This window comes from Homo sapiens, chromosome 11 (assembly GCF_000001405.40).
Source record: "Homo sapiens chromosome 11, GRCh38.p14 Primary Assembly".
Lineage (NCBI taxonomy): Eukaryota > Metazoa > Chordata > Mammalia > Primates > Hominidae > Homo > Homo sapiens.
The window spans coordinates 132397321-132420299 of NC_000011.10; the positions used below are offsets into that span (position 1 = coordinate 132397321).

General features: G+C 42.8%; 1 protein-coding gene across 8 annotated transcripts in view; it reads right to left on the reverse strand.

Moving 5' to 3' along the window:
* OPCML (opioid binding protein/cell adhesion molecule like) overlaps positions 17661–22979 on the reverse strand; it is a 1117521-nt gene continuing 1112202 nt past the window's right edge. For all 8 annotated transcript variants that reach the window (NM_001319104.4, XM_006718846.4, NM_001012393.5 and 5 more), the window contains one exon: positions 17661–22973. In NM_001319104.4, the coding sequence (NP_001306033.1) occupies positions 22873–22973 (101 nt within the window). In that variant the 3' untranslated portion in view covers positions 17661–22872. The remainder of the gene's footprint in view (positions 22974–22979) is intronic.

The following is a 22979-nucleotide window of genomic DNA, read 5'->3' on the forward strand; positions in this document are numbered from 1 at the left end:
GCATTTGATGCAGTCGATCATGGCTTCTTTTGAAACACATTCTTCATTTGGGTTCTAGGATGCCACCTCTCTTTTTCCTTTTTACCTTAATGGAAACTCATTCTCATTGCTTCTTGCAATGAGAATCCCTTGTTTCTCATATTTAAATGTTGGATTTCAGACCCTTTCTCTTCTCTATCTATAATTTCTTCTTAGGTAATTTTTTTCCAACTTTAGCTTTAAATCCATCTGTATTCTGATGACTGCCAAATTTTTGTTTCCAGTCCCAATCTATCCCCTAAGCTCTGTACTTACATAGTAATCATCTACTAGACATCCTTCTGAATATTCAAGAGTAACTTTAAGTGAAACATACATGCATGTGTACACACACACATACCCAAACACCCACACACACAGAGGCACACGTTCCTCCGCTCACCTTCAGTACAGTGCACTACCCTGCTTCCGGTAGCTCTCAAATGAAACTTAGCAGACATTTTGATTACTCTTCCTCTGTCACACTCTGCTACTACCATATCAGTAAACCCCATCAACATTTTAAAAAACAAATCCTAGATCCAAATGTTTCTCATAGTCTCCACTGATAGCACCTAAGAGAAGCCACCAAAATATCATAGCTCGAGCATGACCTCCTTGCAATTTCTCCAACTCCCAAGTGTGCACCTACCTCAGGAACTTTGCACTTGCTATTTTGGCTCTTGTGAATTCTGTTTTTTAAGATCTTTAGGGCTTGCTTCTTTAACAACATTCATATCTCTCTGCAGCCTTTCTCCTACTCTATGCTGCTTTATAGCACTATCACCAACTGACAACATATTACATGTTCACTTGCATACTTTGTCTCCTGCACTAGATAATGAGGTCCATGAGGATTAGGGTAATGTTTTCTTTATCATCTCATTACTCCAGCACTTAAAAGAGTACTTGGCTCATGGTAGGCATCAATAAGTATTTGTTGAATGAATAATAACTAAATGAAATGACTTAATTGTTCTTTACCAATAATGCAGACATTCATTTATAGGTTTATTTATTTATTTAAGCCACCTGTTCTTTTTTGTATGCCAATATCTTCTTACCTTAGGAATTTTAGGTTGCTCCCAATTGCTGTATATATTTACTTTAAATATGTCAATGTTGGATTTTCTAGTATATTTTAATGTTTTAGATTATGAACTCATTTTCCCAGGCACTTTCTTCTGTGAGTGCTCTGTGTGTTCTGCAGGTTATGGAGGATTCTGCAAGAGATGGTTCCTTGTTGCCTTTGCCAAGTTGTTACTCATTTTACAGGTTCCAGACCAAATGTATTTAACACAAAAGGTTAGGCCTTATATCCTAGTGTAGTTCAGACTAGGTTCTCTGATTTCTTGCTGCAGAATCATTTCTTCCTTGTGGCCTAGATGGAGGTAACCATTTTCCTGCCTTATTCAGGCCAGGAAGTGAAGGTTTTTTCCTAGGTGCAACATTTTTCAGTCTCCTAGCTTTATCCAGGGCACATATTTCAGCTGTTCTATGTATGCAGTGCTAGCAATTGATTTGTATCCGACATAGGCAGGAAGGTCTCTACAGTCTGTATTCTGTTCATTTCCCATCACTGATTCTGTGATTCCAGCATCTTTTTTCCACCACGTGTTGCATCTGTGTCTGCAGAAGTAGAGTTAGTTCCTTCTTGATTTCCAGCTCAGCAACCTATTTGATTTCTTCAAAAAATATTTTATGTAGCATTTTAATATGTTTGAAATGGAAGATGGTTTCTCACATTAATTCACCATAGTCTTCCCTAGAAGTCTCTAACTTTATTTGTAAATGTCTGGGCTAGTGGCTCTTAATTTATGTTTTCATAATGACGGTAGTGGTGCTAGTGAAAATGTGGTATATTGAGCGGGAATGCAGTGAGGCTTTACAAGGCAATTAGTATTGAGAAAAATGTCCCATTGTCTGAAAAGAAATAATAAATGGTGCAGCTGCTGGAATGAATTTACCACAAACTTGGTCACTTGAAATAGCACATGTTTATTCTCTTACAATTATGAATGTCAGAAGTCAGAGATTAACATCACTGGGCAGAAATCAAGGCATCAGCAGTATCACAGTCCCTCAAGAGGCTCCAGAGGAAGAGTCCCTTGCCTCTTCTAGCTTTTAGTGCTGCCAGTATTCATTGGCTTATAGCCACATCACTTTAATCTTAAGGGAAAATTTTCAAATTCCTCTCTGCTTCATCTCCCCATAGCTTTCTCTCTGTGTCAGATTTCCTCTGTCTCTCTCTTATAAGGATAGACCTGATTACAGTTAGGGCCTGCCTGGCTAATACAGCATAATCTCCTCATCTAAAAATCCTTAATCACATCTGTAAACTCTTCCCCCATCACACATCCCCCTTTTAGCTTATAGAGTGTAAGGATCACAGACTCAAGTGACTAGGATATAAGTATCTTTTAGAGAATGATTTTTCTGTCACAAATGGTGATGATGATTTTAAACAAGAAAGTTGTCCTTCCCCTTTCAGCATCCAAAAGTAACAATTTTATGGGGAGATAGCGAAAATAGAACACATACAAGCCAAGGCCAGGAGAGCTGATTTATACAGCAGGGACAGAAAAGATGATGAATGGAGTCACAGTTAACAACACCCATCAGAGAAATTATAGGTGTGAGATTATCCTGTTTGGGGGAAACTCTTGGGAGAAGACTGAGTACAAGGAAGATGATAGAGCTGCCCTTGACATCCCCAGTTCTCCATAGTTCAATTCGTTTTTAGGAAACACTACTTACTTGTGGAATTAAAACAGCAATAGTTGCGAATGGCTAATGGGGGGAAAAAAGCCCTATAACTTGTTATATCATACTCCTTCAGTAACTCCAGAGGTATAAGGAGCTCATGGATCCTGAGGGATGGGCTACACAGAGATCGATACATTCATTTCAAGTACACCAGTCTCAACCAGAGGTCAATGAGAGCCCTTCACCATACATTGAAGCATTTTCTTCAGCAAGAGTGTATTTCCCCAAATCGGGGAGGGGTAAGAAAATACCATCGCTTGTAGGGGTCACAGAAAAAGAAGGGTGGAGGTCCACAAGGTTCAATAAACTAAAAAGGTCATCAGTTTCAAAAAGAACCTATTAGAGGTCATTCATGCCAAGTTCTAAATTAGTGCTGTTTGTTTTTTCTTTAAAATTAAGCACAGTAAGAGATGTTTCATGAAGACAAAAGACATCAAAGACAAGACAGGAATTTTTTCCACAAATGTGTTAAAGTGATGAAATTTAGCATAGAGACTAGGTGATCTGCCACTTCGATGTGAGGATCCAGATGATCCATTCTTTGGTCACTGGGGAAGTTAGTGGGGAGGTGGGTGGTCTAGCACCTAAACCCAATGCGGGGTGAAAAAGCCCATCCTTCCAACTCTTTAACAGGAGCTCCGAATACATCTTACCACTTAGAGAGTCTTAAGGTAGGAGAGTCTGTATTTTTAAGGGCAAATAAACCTTGAAAGAGGAAATTTACCGGTCATTTACAGACCTCAGTGTGAATGTCTTCAATAAATGAATCCCATTGTCTCTTCTGTGTTCCAGTTTTCAGGACAGAAGTAAAAACTTTTGATTGGTGTGTGTGTGAGGAGTTAGAGAAAAATTGGAGGTGATTTTTGGAATATAAAACACCCCTAAAAAGGGAAAGGGAGAATCTAAGTAGAATTCAGAGCTACGTGCTTTGGCCAGTCTCAGGGAAGAGGAAACTAGCACTTACATTTCATTATGTACCACGCATACTTATCTCATTTAAATTTTCTCAGCCCTGGGGGTGGCAGGGCCATTGCATTTTACAAATGTAAAAGAGCACCTCATGGAGACGATACTTGTTTAGGGTCATGGTTGGGCAGGAAGCCCAACCTGAGTGTTTGTCTTATATCCATCATCAGGAGTCTTCTGGCCAGAGGATGCTGTGGAGCTGGGTTGGAGACAACACCCAACTGTATGGCCACAGTTCCTTACTTGCATGTCAGTTGCCTCCAGTGTGGAGAAAAGGGAGTGGTAGAGATTCCCTCTTCAAGGTGGTTTATGCCCTTGCGAGTGTTCTGGCCTTCGGTCTTAGCAATATCACTTTACGTTTAAATGATCCTGTTCCAACTGCCCACTGGGCTTCTTGGGGGCAGGAACTGTGTCTTCCTTAGTACGATCACCTGGTGTCCAGCACAGCACTGCTGGCTACAGGTCCATGGCAGGGAGACTGCAGGCTGTCTTCAGTGTCCAGTGAGGGAATCTTTCCCAGCACCATTTGGATCCAGCCAACAGTTATAAAGTGCCCTTTGTGCTCAGGCGCCATGCCAGGCGCTTGCAGATAATTTTTATTCGTTAATTCTCACATCGCCCTATGACACCGCTATGATAATTCTTAATTAACAGATAAGGAAACTGAGGTGTGGAGAGGTAAGAGGGCTTGCCTCAGGTTTGATGGTGGTTGGGTGTTAAGATTTGAGCACATCTGTCTTGTGACTCCACATTCAGCATGCTTTCCCCACACCAGGCTTACTGAATATCCCTCCAAGGACGCTGCTGTCTATCAGAACTAGCAGGAAAAAACATGGTCTTTGCACAATGGGAACTTAAGATAAAGAAAAGAAAGAGAAATACCTAGGGATGCTTTAAAAAGCAACATGCCTGAGGCTAACAGGTAAATGGCCAACTGACCAAGGCACTGGGGAGCCAAGGGGATTTGGAGTGATCCCAAGTAAGTGGGGTTAATCAGAGGAGGCCACGTTTCCTGCAGGAGGTGGCATCGGAGTCAGCCTAGCCAGCAGGTCTGCATTGCAGAACTCACTCACTGAAGAGCGTGCTATGCTCACTTGAAAGTGGGTGTAATTAAGTTCTTCCCTGAGCAGCTGCAGAGCATGCAGGTTGCTGGGGCTGCCACGAGTGTATTGCTAGTGCCCCCCTGTGCACAAAGGAAGAACTGAGCAATGTGCGGGGTAAGCGGGGTGGGGATGGAACAGCTGTCTGTGCCCTTCACCAGGAGCATGCATTTCCATTCTCACATCCCTGAAACTGCTCCTTTAGTCTGAGGAGCATGTAAGTAAGCAGGGAGACCTTCCCCTCCTCACATCCCAGCTGCAGTGAGCGAGTCTCTGTCCCTGGGCACTCTGTCTGGGAGCTCTGCCACAGGTACTCGCCTCCACAGATGTGCTGTGGACAGGGCAAGCTGGAGCTTCCCTTTAGGGAAGGAGCAGGAATTTCACTCCCTGGCCAGGCTCTGTGCAATTAGGACAGCCTGGTCTAGTTGAAAGAGCCCTGGGCTGGGAACTAGACACCATGAGCTCTAGATGTCAATGTTTTTGCCTAGTTTTGTTTTGCTGGGCAATTTGTTCTCTGGATTTCAGTTTCTTTGTCTGGAAAACAAGTACTGGTTCACGTGCCGTTGGCCAGTGCGTCAATAGTCCAGTGCCCACGTGGTCCTTCCTCAGCTTTCCAGTACGGTGGTATATTTGCTCACCTCCTCTCCTGCCTTGCTCCTCATTCTCTCTATCCCCTTGGAATTAGTCATAAAGAATTTGGACGGTTTAGTGGGTTAGTTTATATAGGTTAGAAAATAAAAAACAAAAACAAAAACAAAACAAAAAACAGATGTTTCCTGAGGCTCCTCTGGCTGCCGACTTAGATTCCATGTAAGAACAATCAGCCCCACCCTGAAGATGGACAACACTTTGTTTCCTTAATTTAATTCACCTTGACACACACACACACACACACACATATATATATATATACATGCAGTGACTATGTACGTCAAATGAAATACTCCCCCGTGCCCCTCCAAACTGATAAGCTCAAGGAGATACTTACTTGCATTGTAAAAACTGCAATACAGAATTATATCTTTGCTATGCTTACATCTCTGTAAAATTATGTATTAGACAAGAATTTGAGAGCAATATTACAAATAAAACAATAAGACAACAGTTGATTTGATGAGGATTGTGAAGGTGGGAAGAGGAAGCTTTGAATGTTATAGTGTTGTCTATGCAAATACACACGTGGACCATAGTAGGTATTTATAGACATAAGTTTAATAGACACAGGGCACCATAAAACGTGGACAGCAGGGAGTCACTTTCATAATGGCATCTAAAAAGTCTTGGTACAGATGGCATTTCAATGTCAACATTAAAAGAGGAAGTTTGCATACCCAATGAAGCAGGCTATGGATTAAAAGAAACAACAAATGGATTCATTCATTCATTTGTTCACTCACTCATTCATTGTTGGGAATACAAAGGGAATTGATGCACAGTTCATGCCCTGCAGAAAAATACAGGGAACACAAACTCAAAAGAGTCGAGAAACGTACATTATCAGGTGAACACACAAACCCGAGAAGTCTTTCCCAATTAGCCATTAATGATTGCTTCCTACCTTGGCAGCTCATTGTTTATAAGCAATCTGTCAGTTATAAGTACTGCTATTATTAACAGTATTATTTACTCTGCAGCTATAGAGCTCACTGGGAGAAGTGGGAGGGAGAAAGGAAAGTGAGAACATGGGGGGCTGTGCATTTTAAATGGAGGCCTGAATTGGGATGGTAGTAACGGGAAGCCAAGCTTTCAAGTACTTAGTGAAAACTAGAAAACACTCCTAACAAATGAATGGATCCCGAACTGTACACCTGATGTACACCTGCTGTGGTATACAGCCTGCCTCACCTCTTCATTCCCAGGGCAGTTAACAGAGAATGGTGTGCACTGTTTGTATTTCCCTTTCTTCCTCCCAGAAGCACAAACTGCATGTCTCCCGGTGACTTGGACTGCACTGACACCAGTTGGATTTTACCCAGCAGACCAGATGCAGGTGGGAGATTCCCCATCCGCACCCCTCCCTGTGTGCTTGTGGTTCATAAGCCAAGCCGACACTGCAGGGAGGTACTCTTGTGGTAGGTGGTCACATGGAGAGCTGGGGCTGTGGGCAGTGCCTTCTCCTTGCCATCTGAACATTGGGTCATCCTGAGGAGAGATAGACCCCAAACCCTCGGATGCATGACAGACCCTTGACTCCAAGGAGCAGACCCCACTGGATAAGGGAGAGACGCCCAACCCTGCCCAGTAGGACACTACTTCCACTTGGCTCTGTTCTGCTTCCCTGGCAGATTTGCAGGGCTGGGCATTGGCTACAAGAGCTCTCGCATTCCCAGTCTGCTTCATTCTTGGCTTCCTATTGGGTGATCCATGATGGAGTCCCGCAAAAACAAAAACCAAGAAAAAGCCAAACTTTACCCTATCACCATCATTACCAACAAAATTTCACTATTTGAAGTATTCTAGGCTTAAGTTCACACCAAAAAAAGAAACTCGCTTTTCCCCTCCTCCCCACCTCACTTCATAGGACATCAAGCCCTTCTAGAGAAGAGGCATACCTTAGAAGAAACACTATTGAAAGGCCATGTTTGTTTGTTTATGTAGGTCTTCTAAAACAAGCTGCCATCTTTAATACTCATTTCTCAATCTCAGTCCAAAAACACTTTCTCTAAGTAAAATGAATGAGGAAATTCAGTTTCCATTTTACTTTTAGTTTAGTTTAGCCAAGGAGTTTGACAAAAATCGCTTAAAAAAATCTTTTAAGGAATGCATTAAGGCTAAAAAAGCCCAAACCCACCATGAGAAAGCACATCACAGAAGGCCCTATATGTCCTTATTCTTTATTTTTTTATGTTTATTTTTGAGACAGGGTCTCATTCTGTCACCCATGATGGAGTGCAGTGGCCCAGTCCTAGCTCACCGCAGCTTCTGACTCCTGGGCTCAAGTGATCCTCCTGCCTCAACCTTCTGAGTAGTCAGGAACACAGGGGTGTTAGTTTTTAATTTTTTGTAGAGATGGGGTCTCACTATGTTGCCTAGACTGGTCTTGAACTCCTGGCCCCGAGCAATCCTCCTGCCTTAGCCTCCCAAATAGCTGGAATTACAAGTGTAAGCCATGCCACCCGGCTTCATTCCATTTTTTAAACAATTATATCTCCCCATTGAGAATGTGAAAAATGAGATATGTGGCAGGGCTAGGGAAACAAAGGGTTAAGTACCTTCTTCTTCAACAGTGTGCTCTGGGGATGAGAAGAACCCTGGTCAATAAACAGATATATTGACTTGTTATTATTTAAAGTTGTTTAACCAGGTAGAGATAAACGAAAGCTTTCAGCAGCTGAACTATCACACAAATCACAATTAAGGTGGCATATGTGTTTGGAAGACGTAAAATCAATTCCCGTGAAGATAATGTTTTAGTCTCTATTTGAACTTGAAAACAGAAGTAAATTTTCAGTAGCAACAGCTGGTCTTGTTCCATCCAGGAGGCTCTCTATTAACTGTATAAGAAGGGCCTTTATTACCTCTTCTAATGGTTTTCCTCTATGGTTTTGTCTTCATCAAAAAGGCCCAGTTGATTGTTGTGTTGCTGTTTACTGATGTGGCACAGAGGACGGCAGCTGGGCGCCCACCCACCCCGGTGTTGGGCCCTCCCTCCCCTGAGTGCTGTTTATTGTTTATGGAGGGAGAACAATGGATCCTGGGAACAACTGGTCAGGCTGGGTAGGGGAGGGAGGGGAACTTGCCCTCTTTCTCAGCTTTGCTCCTCCAGGTAGCCTTCCCTGAGCTGCACTGGTGGGGAGGTGTGTGTTTAGGCAAAGGAGGGCATTTGAGCAAAGTAGTCTTTGTGATGTAATCACCCCCCCCAAGTTTCCAGCAGTGGGAGTGACCTCTAAAGACTACTCACCATTTCAGGTTTTAGTCATGCAAATTTGTGCGTGTGTGTGTGTGTGTGGTGTGTGTCACACGTGTGTGTTGTCCTTCCAATTCTATCCTATACTCCCAGAGGCAGGGACCACATTTTATGCCACTCCATTCTTTACCAGGCTGAGTGTGGTGCTGGCACAAAGCAGATGCTCAGGGAAAGGAGGCTGTGGCACTGGGAATCCACTGGATATAAGCCACCTCCTGGTTGAGTTAGTCGTGCAGTCTCTCTCTCTTTCTTTCTTTCTTTCTCTCTTTCTCTCTTTCTCTCTCTCTGTCTCTCTTTCTTTCTCTCTCTCTCTCTCTTTCTTTCTTTCTTTCTGACAGAGTTTTGCTGTCACCCAGCTTGGAGTGCAGTAGTGCAATCTCGGCTCACTGCAACCTCCGCCTCCTGGGTTCAAGTGATTCTCCAGCCTCAGCCTCCCGAGTAGCTGGGACTACTGCAGGTGCCTGCCACCATTCCTGGCTAATTTTTATATTTTTGGTAGAGACAGGGTTTCACCACATTGGCCAGGCTGGTCTCGAACTCCTGACCTCAAATGATCCCCCCACTCGGCCTCCCAAAGTGCTGAGATTACAGGTGTGAGCCACCACACTCAGCCCTGTGTAGTCTTTCTTAGGTGAGGTACAAGGGTGCAGTGTAAGCTGGTGGGAACTAGGTCAGGTTTCCCTTTTGGGGGTCGCAGGGCTTGTTGGGGAAGAGGAAATGTACACTGATGAGGTGGGAACTTGACTGCCCCAGAGCAGGAGGGAAGGTGCAAGGACAGAATTTCTTGCTTGGGAACAGAGGCTGGCCAGGAGAGGAAAGGGGACCAGGAATACATGAGTAGCCAGGGAACCCGGACAGCAGCTCTCATCTGCCTCTAACTAGGTGTCAGACCAGGACAAAGCATTGGCCTCTGTGTGGCAGGTGCTTTGCCTGAAAAATATGAGCAGTGAAACCCAAGCTTCTTGCAAACACGACTGGTTATAAAAATATAAGATTAGTATCACTATTCCAGAGGAAACAACAAACAAATGAACAAACAAAAGCACGATGAAAAGAAATTACTTGCTCTACTCAGGCCACTTCCTTTCAGACAAAATAAGTAGACAAATACCATCGATCCTCCCTTCTCAATATCTTTCATGTCTGTATGATCCCTCCCAGCCTTGGCCACCTCCTACATCAGATGCTCATGACCACAAACACGGGCCACACATAGCTCCCCCGCCTCCCCTTCCCTGCCTACTGGGGCTAGCTTCCCCCTTTCGCTCTATCCAGTACATCTCTGCAAGGCCTCAGCTCAAAGGACCATTTTGATTATGTTCTTCCTCAGCTCAAAAGCCATGGATTCGTTCATTCCGTGGATACCGATGCCCACCCTGTGCCAGGCACTGTCGTAGATATTGAGAAAACAGCAAACATACAAACTACCTCCTGCTATTGTGCTCATTGTCATGGAGGGTGACAGGAAAAATGAGACAGATAGAAAGGTAGAGAGATAAAGAGATGGGTGGGTAGATGATTTTAAGTAGACCTATATATTTATATTTAGAATCCATATAAGTGGAGTCATATTTAACTGAATCAAGTCAATATTTTACAGTTCATAATCTCTCTTCCCAGGCTGTGATTTTTGTCAGCCCCTGTTGTTTGTCCCAACTAAAAGAAAAAAGCAAAGATTTCTTCTTACTCGTATGATACTCCATTGTGAACTTTGAGTCTAAAATTAATTCTCTTATCTCCTCAGTTCTCTTTAGGACTGCAAGATTCTTTTGTCTGTTGCTTCCCTGAGGCTCTGAGACCCATCCTTGAGTTAAGGTCAGTCTCAGGTGAGCCTATAGCCCCAGTGGTTCATTCCCCAGTGGGAAGGTGGACAGGGTCAGTGCTGAAGAGCACAGTCATTTTCTGCACCTGGCCTTTGAATCCAGCCAGGAGATTGCCTAGAAAGTTGATGTTGTTTTCTTTCAAGATATAGGAACCCCTGCCCTCCTTTCTTCCAAGAGATGGAAACTCTTTTCTTCCAAGAGACAGACACCCTTCCCACTTTGTGAGCTTTCTGGAAGCTCACAAATAAGGCAGTCATGCAAGAGCCTGAAGTGACTTTCTCTTGTGTTCGTTAAAGAAATCCCAGTGTTTTTTGGAACACGGGGTGAACCCTGAAGCATGGAGACAACCTGGCGTGTAACTGGAAAGGGCACGTAGTTGGAAATTTGATGGACTTGCCTTGGAACCCCACCCCTGCTAGTCTTCAACAGTGGGCCTTGGAGCTTCAGTGGGGATAACACATTATTCCCAAGATTGCTTTGAATATTATATGAACTAGGACACATGACAGCCTGAACTTCTCACGTGATTTCCATAAATACACAAATGTTAACAGCTTTCCATCCTTGCTCAGCTCCCTCACCAGCCTCTGCTCCCTGCACATGTATCACTATTGTCCTGAGGTTGCTGTACAGGAACAGGAGTGGGTCTGCAGAGAGAGAAGATTCACCTGCAGACTCCCCGTGCACTACAACAAAACTCATCTTCACAAGGCAGAATTCTTCGCCTGCATGGTGCCTTTCACTTCTTGTCTCACTCTCTTCCTTAGCAGTTTCAAATTTCTTAAGGTAGGAAATAACTAAGAGGAGGAATGGGGTAGGTTGAAAAGTGCTGAAGCTGCCCATGGAACAGAGGTGAGTAGAGGAAAGAGCCAGGCAGGGACAATGGGGAGTTTTGAGACAAACTCAACTAGAAATTTACACCAAAGTGGAAACATCCCAGCAAGCAGACTGACTCAGCACTGGGGCCACCATCACACAAGGTGGGTAATAGGAAACAGAGAGAAATCACAAATGGGGCTGTCCACACTGCCATGGCACTGAAACTGAGCCTCTGTGTGCCTCAAGAGGAGAATTGGCAGCTTTGTGTCTGAGGACTTCCAGTGAGTCCTTGTATGGTCCTAGCTGATTCAACTATGCAGTGACTATTTCTCTAATAAGCTGATTCCCCCGAGACCTTTAGTGACAAAGAGACAGAAACTGAAGTGGTTTGGTCTTGTAACCAGAGCAACCATCCTTGCAAATCCACCACACAGGAAACAAGATTGAGAGCAAAAGAGATAGGCTTCATGGGCAGAGCCCCAGGCTGCCTATGTTCTCAGGTATACAGGTGCTTTCCCAGAAAGCACCTGTACACCTTCAGGGTCTGGGCAGCAGAGAACTTACAGGCATCCTCTATGCATTTGTACCTGGTTCGCTTATGCTCAAATGGCTGCAGAGAATGGAGGAAAGGAAATTGGATATGATTAAGCATTTAGAAGCTGGGCACCTTGTTAGGCACACTACATATTTTATTTCATGGAATCCCAACCATAAATCTGGTAATGTGATATGTAATTGAAACCAGCCCTTACACGATGCCTTCTAGACAATCATAAGTGGTAGGTGTGGGGTGGCTTGAAAGAGGCAGAAGACTGTGAAGAGAATGAGGAAAGAAGTTACTGATTGTCTACCACTGAATGCCAAGCATCTACAGGCAAGAAGCTGTGCAGGGATTTTCCTATTACTCTTTCTCTTATACACCTCATAGCAATGTCACAGGGTAGTTCTCTCCCAGCTCTATGTGGTAGATGAGTAGACTGAAACTGTAGGAGATTATTTCATAAGCTTATAGGAACACAGCCAGTACGTGGCAGAATCAGAATTTCAACTTGGTTCTCCCTGACCTGAAAGACTGTGCTGTCTTGCCTCCTGAGCAACACAAATAGACCCAATTCACATGGCTCTGTACTGGATGTGAGCTGACAGGGCCACCTGGATGCAGTCAGACACTGTGGCTTCCTACTGAGATTCAGCCTCCTCTAGTTTTAGGAGAACCTCTCTGGGATCATTGAAAAAAAAAAAGGAACAAGCTTAATGTATATTTCAATCCTTAAGTCATTCAAATGAAATGCATCACTCTTAATCAGAGGTAAGCTCTCTGATGAGGTTTGAAAGCTTAAAAACCTTTCTGGAATTTGTTAGCAAGCAAGTGAGCATCAAACTATGTGATGAAAATACAAAGAGAACTTGCATCACTGTAATATTACAGGCAAATTGGGAGAAAACTCCACCCTCATTCGAAGACGCTCAGTGGTCAGCTATTCTCACAGAACCCAGTGAATAATGGCTTGGCCCTTTGTATGAGGCCCAGGAAGAGCCAAACTTCATCTAGGCAGTGGGACAGCTGTGCCAGTTTCCCCCTTCCCCATTTAAAGCATCTGTTACTTCTTTACTGCCTAATCAGAGAACTGCTCTCTACTCTTCTATCACAACAAGCAGTTAAAAAAAAAGAAAAGAGAAAACCAGTACCTTTTTAAGACAAAATCAGGATACAGAGGAAATGGAGGATGATAAATGAATTGCAGATGGATGATCCAAGAAGCCAGAGTTCCTCTGGAATTAAAGTGAGAGGCAGAGAAAGGAAATCAGGCATCCCTTGTGCATGGCAGTGGATATAATTAGATGACTTAGGAAAATGCTGATGGTGCTTAAATGTCTCCACCTGGAGGTTCTACAGATACTTAAAACTGGATATATCAAAAATTGGATGGAACCTCATCATTCTTTTAAGTTTTGAGAATCGTAGGATGGTACCATCTTCCGTCCAGTTGGCTGAATTTGAAACCTTGTGTATTCCCCATATTCTACATCCTCCATCACCCCATACCTCCAGGCCCTCCCATCAAAACTACCCCTGAAAAATCATCCCAACTTGCCTGTTTTTTCTAATTCCTTCTTACCATTTCTCACCTGAATTATTTCAATGACTCCTAACATGTTTTCCCCTTGCCAGTGTGACCGATGCCCAGTTAGTCCCTGTTGCTGCCTGGCTGATCTTTCTACACTGCAAGACCAATTTAGCCGCTCTTTTTATTAAATCCTTCAACATCTTCCTTATTTTTTTCAGGACAAGTCCCAGTATATCAGCATTCCCCATAGAGGTTTTTAGGGTCTAGACCTCGTCTCCTGCCATGCACCTCTGCCTGCACCCCTCATGGGGTAATCTATACTTACAGTTTCCTGACCATGCTGTGCTTCTCTCGTGCCTCTATGTGCTCTTTGACGATGTCCCTCTGTCCACAGTCACTTGCTCCTCTCCCTCTCCCTTTCCCTGGCTAGGTCCTTCCGCTTCCTGAAGGCTCAGGTGAGACCTCTCATCTTCTGGAAGAGTGCCTTCAGCCCTCCTGTCTGGGTTAAGTGGCTTCTACTGGGCTCCTCAAGCCCTTGATTAAAAACTACCATGTGCTGTGCTGTGAAATCTGGGCTAGGACTTTCTGGAAGATATACACTCTGTCTCTCAATTTGAATCCTCAGTACCTGTCATAACTTGGCTATCTGATACCTGTTTCTTAGATTAAAAATTTAGTTCTACTCTATTGCTTCAACACTCCTTTGGAATTCTACCAAAACCTTATTGATGCCTTTCCAACCTTGTGTTCTTGAATAATCCAAGACTCAGAAATGTGTTTCTCCTCTTTGAATTTCAACAAAGAAATTACATATAAATTACAATTTTTAATTTTTTCAATGAAGTTGAATTTTCAACACATTTGAATTATATCTTCAAACAACTCAGGAAAGTGAGGACATAAAAGAAGGCTGAGAGAAGAACAAGAGAAAAAAAACACAAATGTTTACTTTGCAAGTAATTGTTATACGCTGGGACTAAGCTAAACTCCCTTACGTATTCACATCTAGAAGTGGAATAATTCTCACAGCTATTCTACTGAGATGCGTATCATTACCATTGTTTTATTAAAGATGAGACTGAAGTTCAGAAAGGGTAAGAAATTGGTGTAAGACAATATAACAGGTAATTTGCGAGGTCAAGTTTTCTGAAACAAGCCAGCTGGTTGGAGAACTCATGGTAAAGGCAAGGCAGTAAGTCATATGGGAGAGAGGAATTCATGGAGATAAAACTAAGACTATTTTTATCTTCGAAACAACAGACCCTGTGGGACACTGACATGCAAATGACCCGGGTGTTTCATCCTACATCACAGAGTGTTAGCCTTCTCTGGAGAAGCCTAGTCTTGGGGTCTATTCAGCAAGTCCACTCGTAAGCTCCGCCTACCCCTCCATGCCTCAGCTGCAGCGCATGCCCCCAGATGGAGCTTCTCTTTCCCTCATCAGCAAGGCTCGTGGTGTTAGAGCCAGTGAAAGGTGATATGCTCAGTAATCCTATGTGGGACTGAGACTTCATAACCAGCTTCCTAACCAGCCTTGACATTATAGGTGTCGCTCCCTCCTCTCCAACAGGTCTGTGTTAGCCTGTCATCAACTGTACAGTGTGGTCCTTTGGCCACTTGTAGTTTTAACTGCCTTGATGGTACTCATTCATTTAACAAATGCTATTCACGCCATTGATAAATTATCGAATACCGAATGTGTATGATCCTGTAACCCAATGATTTTTGTAGTAATTTATCTGTGCACCATGTCTGCAGCTTATGTTAGCTGTTGTTAGCTGTTTACATTCCAGCGTTTTATCCCTGCGGAAGAAATGGGGTACAGCGAGAATGCCTCCTAATCATCTCACAATATTTGCTCTGCACTTTGCAGTCGTTTCCTCATATCTCTGTCATAATACTTGCCATGCTCAACTGTAATTTTTCTTCTTATACAGCAGTTTTTAGATCTTAAATGTGAACTCCTCAAGTGGAGTTCCTGACTAAATGTGATGCATGAATAATGACTAACTGGGGAAATATAAGGGAAAGAAAAAAGATATCCCAATGATTGGATGAACATATTAAAAGAAGGTAGCATCACTTCTAATTTGATGTTTGGTTTTCAAAACTGATCATAGGGTTTGGCCTCAACTAGCACTCCCCGTGAATTTTTCTCAAAGTGAATAATTAATTCAACAGCAAATTAAATTGTGGGGAAAGAAGGAGGTCAGTTGCCAGTTGAGGTCCCTCCTGTCTGTTTCGTCAGTTGTTTGTTATGTTCATTGCGCGACTACAATCCTAGTGTTACACCTGCTCATCTGGGTATTTCCACTCCACTCCCAACTCCGCATGCTTTTCCTACTTAATACACCTTGATAGGAAGAGGAATGCCCTTAATATATCTCCAGAGGCACTTCTGAATATATAGGATTTTCATAGGGCAAAGATAAAAATGCATCCAATCATTTAGCTGCCATGCTTACGAGTTACTAGATAAAGCTTCCCTTGTGGAATAGTGAGATAACAGCAAAGATTTTCATTACCTTGAAGTGGATTGGTAAACAGGTGTGTCCGCTAAAGGCTAGCTGGAGCAAGCCTGGTGGATGGACTGACAGCTGGGAAAGGATAGATGGTCTAAATAAATAGATGAGTGAGAAACAGTCTCACATTAAGGAGGTGCATGAGTATAGAGATGGAAAAAGGGTTAGATAAATGGGAAAATAATATGTGAATGGATAGTTGAGTAGTTAGCCGATGGGAGAATAAATTGGTTCATGGATGATGGATGGAGCTGAGTGGCTAAATGGAATGAGAGACTGACAGCAGATGGATGGGTAAATGTGGTATGAACAGGAGCAAGAAAGGGTCAGGTGCACATAGGAAGAGGATGATGAAAAGGAAGGAAAAAAAGGCAACAAGAAAGGGAGTACTAAAGGTACTGAGATGGCTAGGGGAACTGGAATTTCATTCCCTTGATGAATCATAATTTTACAATGAGCCAGAGGAAATTGGAAACTCCCAATTATTGATGCCTAGTGTTTACTTGCCATTGCAATTTACAAAGAACATGTGTCTAGTCTATCAACTTATCTGTGTTCCATTCCCTGTAGGGGAGACTGAGTCATGAAAGGATTAGACTTTGTCTACGTAGGAAGCCAACAAGAATATAAGACTCACAACTTTAGCTCAGGGACTTTGCCAGAGAAGCTACATGTGCTGTAAAATTAATGAAATAATTTTACACTTTCTATTCAGTTATCAAATCATAATTAGTCACTGTCCCTAAGCTTTATTTGAGGACAGCCTTAAGAAATCTCATAGTTGCAAAATAAACCAAATAGCAGCCAAATAATTCTGAACCAGTGTACACTAGGTGGTGTAATTAAATTCACCAGTGATACAGATGAGAGAACAAAGGCTAAGAAAGTCACTTACCAGTCTAAGATCTCACACCTAGTTAACGGCAGAACTGGGAAGGCTTAATTGATATACAAATGGCTAATGAGAAACTGAGGTGTAAAAAGAAGTTAGTATCCATTTCTTTAGAAAAGCAGATGGATGTGTGATGGAGAAAGGGGAGCTGGGGTTTCACTGGAAGAGAAAGGTGTTTTAGAAATGGCAATCAGAGGAAAGGAGCCGCTCCTCTGGGGTTCTTTCTCATACTATTCCACAAGAAGCCTCAGCTGAATGAAACCCAACCCAAGTAAAACCTAAGATGCATAAACCTTCATCTAATGGCACACACTTTTAAGAATCAATGTACATCCTCGACCCCATGTCTTCTCATACTTACCCTTGTTAACGTGGTGTGTACTTCAAGAAATCAAGCAACAGGAACTTAGGGACTCAAATGCCCAAACTGGGCAGTATCTGGTCACCCCTATTTTTCTGACACTTCTCTTCTGCTTTCGTTTTCGCCTACACCAACAAACAATTTAGACTTTGAGGCTGCAGCTACATTTTATATTGTTTGTAAACAGCATAGATCTTTGATATACAAATGTCATACGGACAGTGCTAAGGCTGCTTTCTACAGTGTGTGCGAGAGAGAGAAGGAGGGAGAGAGAGAGGTGGGGGGTGCAGCTCCAGGCTTTCTGAGTGCATCTACTCTCCAGGGCCAAAAACGCACATATGGGAGAAGCAGAGCTCGCTTCATATTTTTCCCGTCCTGGATATCAATGAGATGTCCTAATAAACAGCCCCCCAAAAGTTACAAATTTCTCGAACTTTATTGGTACACTGCACAATCACAACCATCTCGTATTCATCCTGAATTAGAAAAGGTTACAACTACAATGTAACATGCACAAAATTCAGGTAGTATATTCACCCTTGATACAATTATTGACAGAAATCAAGTCTTCATTGATTTTTTGAAGGAAAAAATACGAAAGAAAATAAAAGAAAAAAAGAACTCTAGAAGGCTGACAAAGTCATACTCTTGTATCGTGTGATAAATTTTTAAAGCATTTGAACATAGATTTTTTTTGAAGGATAATTGTGAGAATGGGCACACCCATTGTCTGACACAGCTATAACGGCACCATTGATAAGTCATAATTTTTTTTTAAATCTAAAGGACTCTGAACTTGACAGACACATTTTCGTTCACCCACACAGTCCTCACAACTGCACTTGACATGTCACGAAAATTTCCGAACGATTAAAAATGCTCCCTTTAACTAACACAAGGGCAGCTTGCAGTACATAGCATTGTTATTACTGATAGCTTTATAAATCTGCCAAATAACATAGAATGTAGCCTCAAAAGGATGGTCGAGGGTTCGCAATCTTTCTTTCTCCACCCAGTGGTGTGGAGCAACTCTGTGCCTTAAAGAGGGCACCATGGAAAGAAACAAAAAGGAATCTCTTTCAAAATGCTGGAAATTAGGCTTAGCTCACTACTTTCAGGATAAAGACAACTGCATCTAATTAAGTCCACTCCACATTTCTTTGGACTCTAAGTATTCTGCACCTGAAGGCTAAATTGAACTGGCTCAGCCCTATCTTTTTTGCCACATCTTTAATTACAAATCTATTTCTTCTTCCTTTCATTTACTTCTCTTCTCTTAAGTAAGAAATGTGGGAAATGAGACTGGCAGTTTTGTTTGTTTGCATGTGGTGATCATTAGGCGTTCTCATCATATGGTCTCTTTTTGAAAATGTTGCCTTCCTACTTACACACCTGTGAAGTTTTACTCAAGTGCTCAAACTTATTTGTCTTCAAGTAAAAAGACAGGGAAGCTCTGAATAATAGGAGGGGAGGCAATTGGGTATAAGAGTTTCCAAGATAAGGTCACGTGCAAAATGAAAACAAAAGATTCTTGCTGTTGGAGAAAAAGAAAATAAATGCATTTTTTCCAAAAAGAAAAACCTTATGCTGCTTCCCTTAATTCCAAAGGGATTGACAATTTGCTTTTGTGTGTGTGTTGGTCTGTTTCATTTTGGACTGGTTTTAGGTAATGCATAGCCAGTTTTTCTTTCTCAAGATCAAAGTCAGTATGGAATTGAGGAAAGATGCCCCACCACCAGATCTTACCTCATCTTAAGCCATTCCTCCCCTCCTACCATGGGCTGGCGACAGCCAACCAGCACTTGAAAATTCAATGTACAGCCACTCCTGATGCCGCCACAGGGATAAGCTCTCGTCGGGGTTGCCTGCCCACTTTGGGGTTCTCTGCTTTTCTCATGGAATAGTTCTTTCAGCATAAATAGAACTTGCTGACTTCTCTTTGTTGAAGGCAAATTGACTGAATTGATGCAGAAAAAGATTCTGAAACCCAGCCTCAGTTTTGAAGTTGCTAGAGTCCAGGAATAGTCTTCTCACCCAGGTTTTGAGAACAAACTGCCCAATCTGTAAATGTATCATCTAGTAAGAGGCATGGATGTAAGAAGAAAGAGACTGGGGCCTCTTTGTGACACAACACCTTACCTTTTCTTCTGTTTCGTGGAGCACAGTTGCAGCAGAACAGCCATGCGCAGTGCTCTGCATAAAGCCTGTACATGTTTTCACAACCACTTCTCTACATCTCCCCCTCCCTGAATTAAAGCAAGAATGAGAAAAACTAAACATGCTTGTTTAGACTTGCAGTCGACTGTATCAGGCACTTGACATTAAACTACTGAAAAACAAGCTTGGCTGCAGCCTTAACACGAGCACTTTCATTGGCATTACTTTGGTGGAAGTGCATATGAACTCTGTTTTGGGAAGGGGAAGGGTTTCAGAGTCCCTACATTGCTAATTCCTCTCACCTAATCTCCTAACAGGACTTATTTGGCTTCCTTTTCATGTGGAAAACCTGCAAGAGATGTACTTGCTCAGACTTGTATGTTTTGTCCTGCCTTGCCCCCACCCCATGCCCACTACTGGCACCCTGAACAAATCTAGCCTGTAGGCATTCTCCATGTACTCTCCGTGTGTGAAGTTGGAAAAGTGTGGATATTGTCTTGTGTAAGCATTTGTTGTTCTATATGCTTCAAAATGATGGGTGACAGCCACTCTCCCATGAAGCCATCCCCACCAAAGAAACACAAAAACACAGAAGCAGAAATATGTCTGTTGTGAAGAAGTCATTTTCACTCCCAGTGAGTACCCCAGTTGCCTTGGGTTGTATTTACTTTGTTGTCTTTACCCCAGACAGATGAGGATCAACTGTAGCATTTCTCTCCCTCTGAAACGTGGCTGGGATAGGTACCCACCAGAGGGGCATCTTAGTATCCTTTGGAAGGGGGAACAGCAGGGTTCCATAGTGGCCCTGAAGCCAGCCTTGTTGGGTTGAGAGGTTCTGATGATCTTGGCCAAAGGAGCATGGACCCTTTCCTGTAGAACAAGTCTTGGAGTGAGGAATAGGTCCAGCTTGTCCATTTCAAGCACTGTGTTCTCCAAGACTGTCCACTCTTCACAGCCTTCACATTTATTCAACTCCAAAGTAACAAATTTATCATCAGTAGCATGCTCAGATGACACATTTAATTCTCATACACTATCTGACACCAACTCAACTCCAGATGCTGAAGGTGGTGACAGATCTGAAACGTCTATGTGCGACCTTTAATTCTGATTTTGCGCCTGCTCATGATCATCCCTGGAACTGGGAATCAATGCACCATTCCTGGCACATCAGTTACGGTTCCCGAATCTGGCTCCTGGCAGCTCACTAGGAAATGCAGATGTCTGTTTACAGCTGGAAAATGTAACATTAATTTCACTCACACCAGCTCTACCTCTTAAGACAGTGCTTAGCATTTAGTGTGCCAAGATAGCCTATGTTTGTATGTATGTATATATGTATAGATATCTCTGTGTGTGTTTCCCCATGGCAGAGGTCACACTCATGTGCCTTGATGGACAAAAACAAAGAGGACACTGATACCAGAGGAAGAAGACCAGTTAAGCATTAAGGGCACAGAATTCAATGGTGCTCATATTTTTTATTTTTTAGACTGAGGGCCTGAAAAGGTTTTCCAACTGAGGCAGGGCAGGTCTGCGATTGATGCTGCATTCTCATCCTCTCTGTGGATCAGTCCCTGCAGCACACCTGTGCGGTCTGCAATGCCTTTATTTTGAATCCCAGGCAACTTTGCTGGATGAGTCCTTCTCGTCCCAGGAGACAAGACAGCAAAGGTGGCTCAGCTCTTGTTTGTATGCTGGGTCTGCTTTGAACCTGAAGAGCTGGTGAAGTTCTTCCCCAAAGCCATTGGAGAAGCAGCTGCATCAGAGGAAACTGTGTCACTGACACTTTCTCCCTTCTGTTTGCAGTGTTGTGTTAATCAAGTGCTTGAAAATTAAGTCAGTTGCTCAAGTGCCCTCAGCTTAGAAGAGCTTCCTGAAACAAATACCAGAGTTGTCAATACACCCGCCATGTAATTGGCCTCCATCAGCTTTTTACTGGATAGTTTTCAAACAGATTAAACCAGAACTGGAGCAGAAAGGAGACTCTAGCTGAAGTCATCCCACTCAGGCGGGTGGACTCTTCACTTTGCATTGCAGAGACAGATGTGTTTTTCTCTCAAGTTCTTGCTGCTAAGGAAAGCCAGCCATAGGTTCCTGACATGTACTTTCTTGAAGGGTTGAGAGAAGCATAAAGGCTGGCACCTTTGTCCTTCAAGTGCAAAAGGAAAACCACAGTGCTAATCAAAACTTTTCTAGGCTGATCTGCTTCCCAAGAAAGTGTTTTAGAAAACACAGGCTCTTCTGGGAATAGTGAGTGACTGATCATTAGCTTGCTACTTTGGCCTATCTGTTAGTGTCTCCCTTGGGTGGATAGGATACCAGATTTTAAAGAGTCCACAACACAGGGTATTGCTTTTGTATTTTGTTAACCTGTGAGATCGTTGGCTTTCACAGAAGTTGAAAGATAATTTTGAAGATGCCAATGTCTGCTGATGGTGTATAAATGAATACAGTGGGAGAGATACAATATGGTTAGAGATTCATATGGGGATGAATTGATAGTGAGTAGTAGGGAGAGAATAGAAAGGAGTGTTAGACAATTACATTGATAGATTGATAAACAGTAAATAGATTGCTAGAGAGGAAGACAGGTGGGTAGATAATTGGATGGTGAGATAAATCAGATATTTGAGTAGATGGGTAACTGTACCATTACTTTGATAGATAGCTTGACAAAACCTAAATAAATCAGCCACCTATCAATCACGTTTATGAGTTGAACTTCTCTTTTTAAAATAGAGGTTCTATCTTCAAAATGCCTCCCCCTTTTTTGGTTACTTGACTTGCAAAATTTAGTGTTGGGTTTCATGCATAGCCCCAAACTTCAAATCTCTGCAGATGGTGGAAGGAATGAGTAGAGCGGAGGGGCTACAGAAGATGGCACAATCATCTATATTGAAATCTATAGATATGGATATAGTAGGATAGTGTCCCAGAAAGAAAAGACGTGAACCCTAATGGAATTAGATAATAATTAACATGGATGGGGGCATATGTACATTGTCATTAAGAAAATAATCACAGATAATAGGACACTTGGATGTAGCTCTTGCTGTGCACTATGTTATAAGTCAAGTTGTGTCTTCAGGGTGTTTATTGTGAGGCTCAATTTTTGCCCAAATGAAACTTACGTTTTGTTGTGTGTGGCAGAGGATGTTGTTGGGAATGATGATGAGGAGAGAAGCAGAGGAAAGGGAAGGGTCAAGGTAGCAGGAGCAGACCCCATTTTTGGACACACCAATGAATGATTATCCTACACGTGGTAGAACCCTGCCCACCCCGCCCCCAACCCCACTCATTCAAGCTGGAAATAAAAGCAAACAAACAAATAAACAAAAACAAAAAGAAAACAAATCTAGAATAACAGAAAAAAACAAAAAGAAGCCCAAGCTGGTTTGCTCTCCGCAGTGTAGATTAAAGTCTGTGATATGGAGAAGCAGGCGTTGCTCAGAGGACCTAGGATTTCTTATCAAAACTTGATGAAGAAGTGGGCTAAGAGGGTCCCTGATAGCCAGAGACAAGCCAGTGCTCTGGAGGCCGAGTTTACACCATCAATGACTGCTCCAGGCCCTGTGT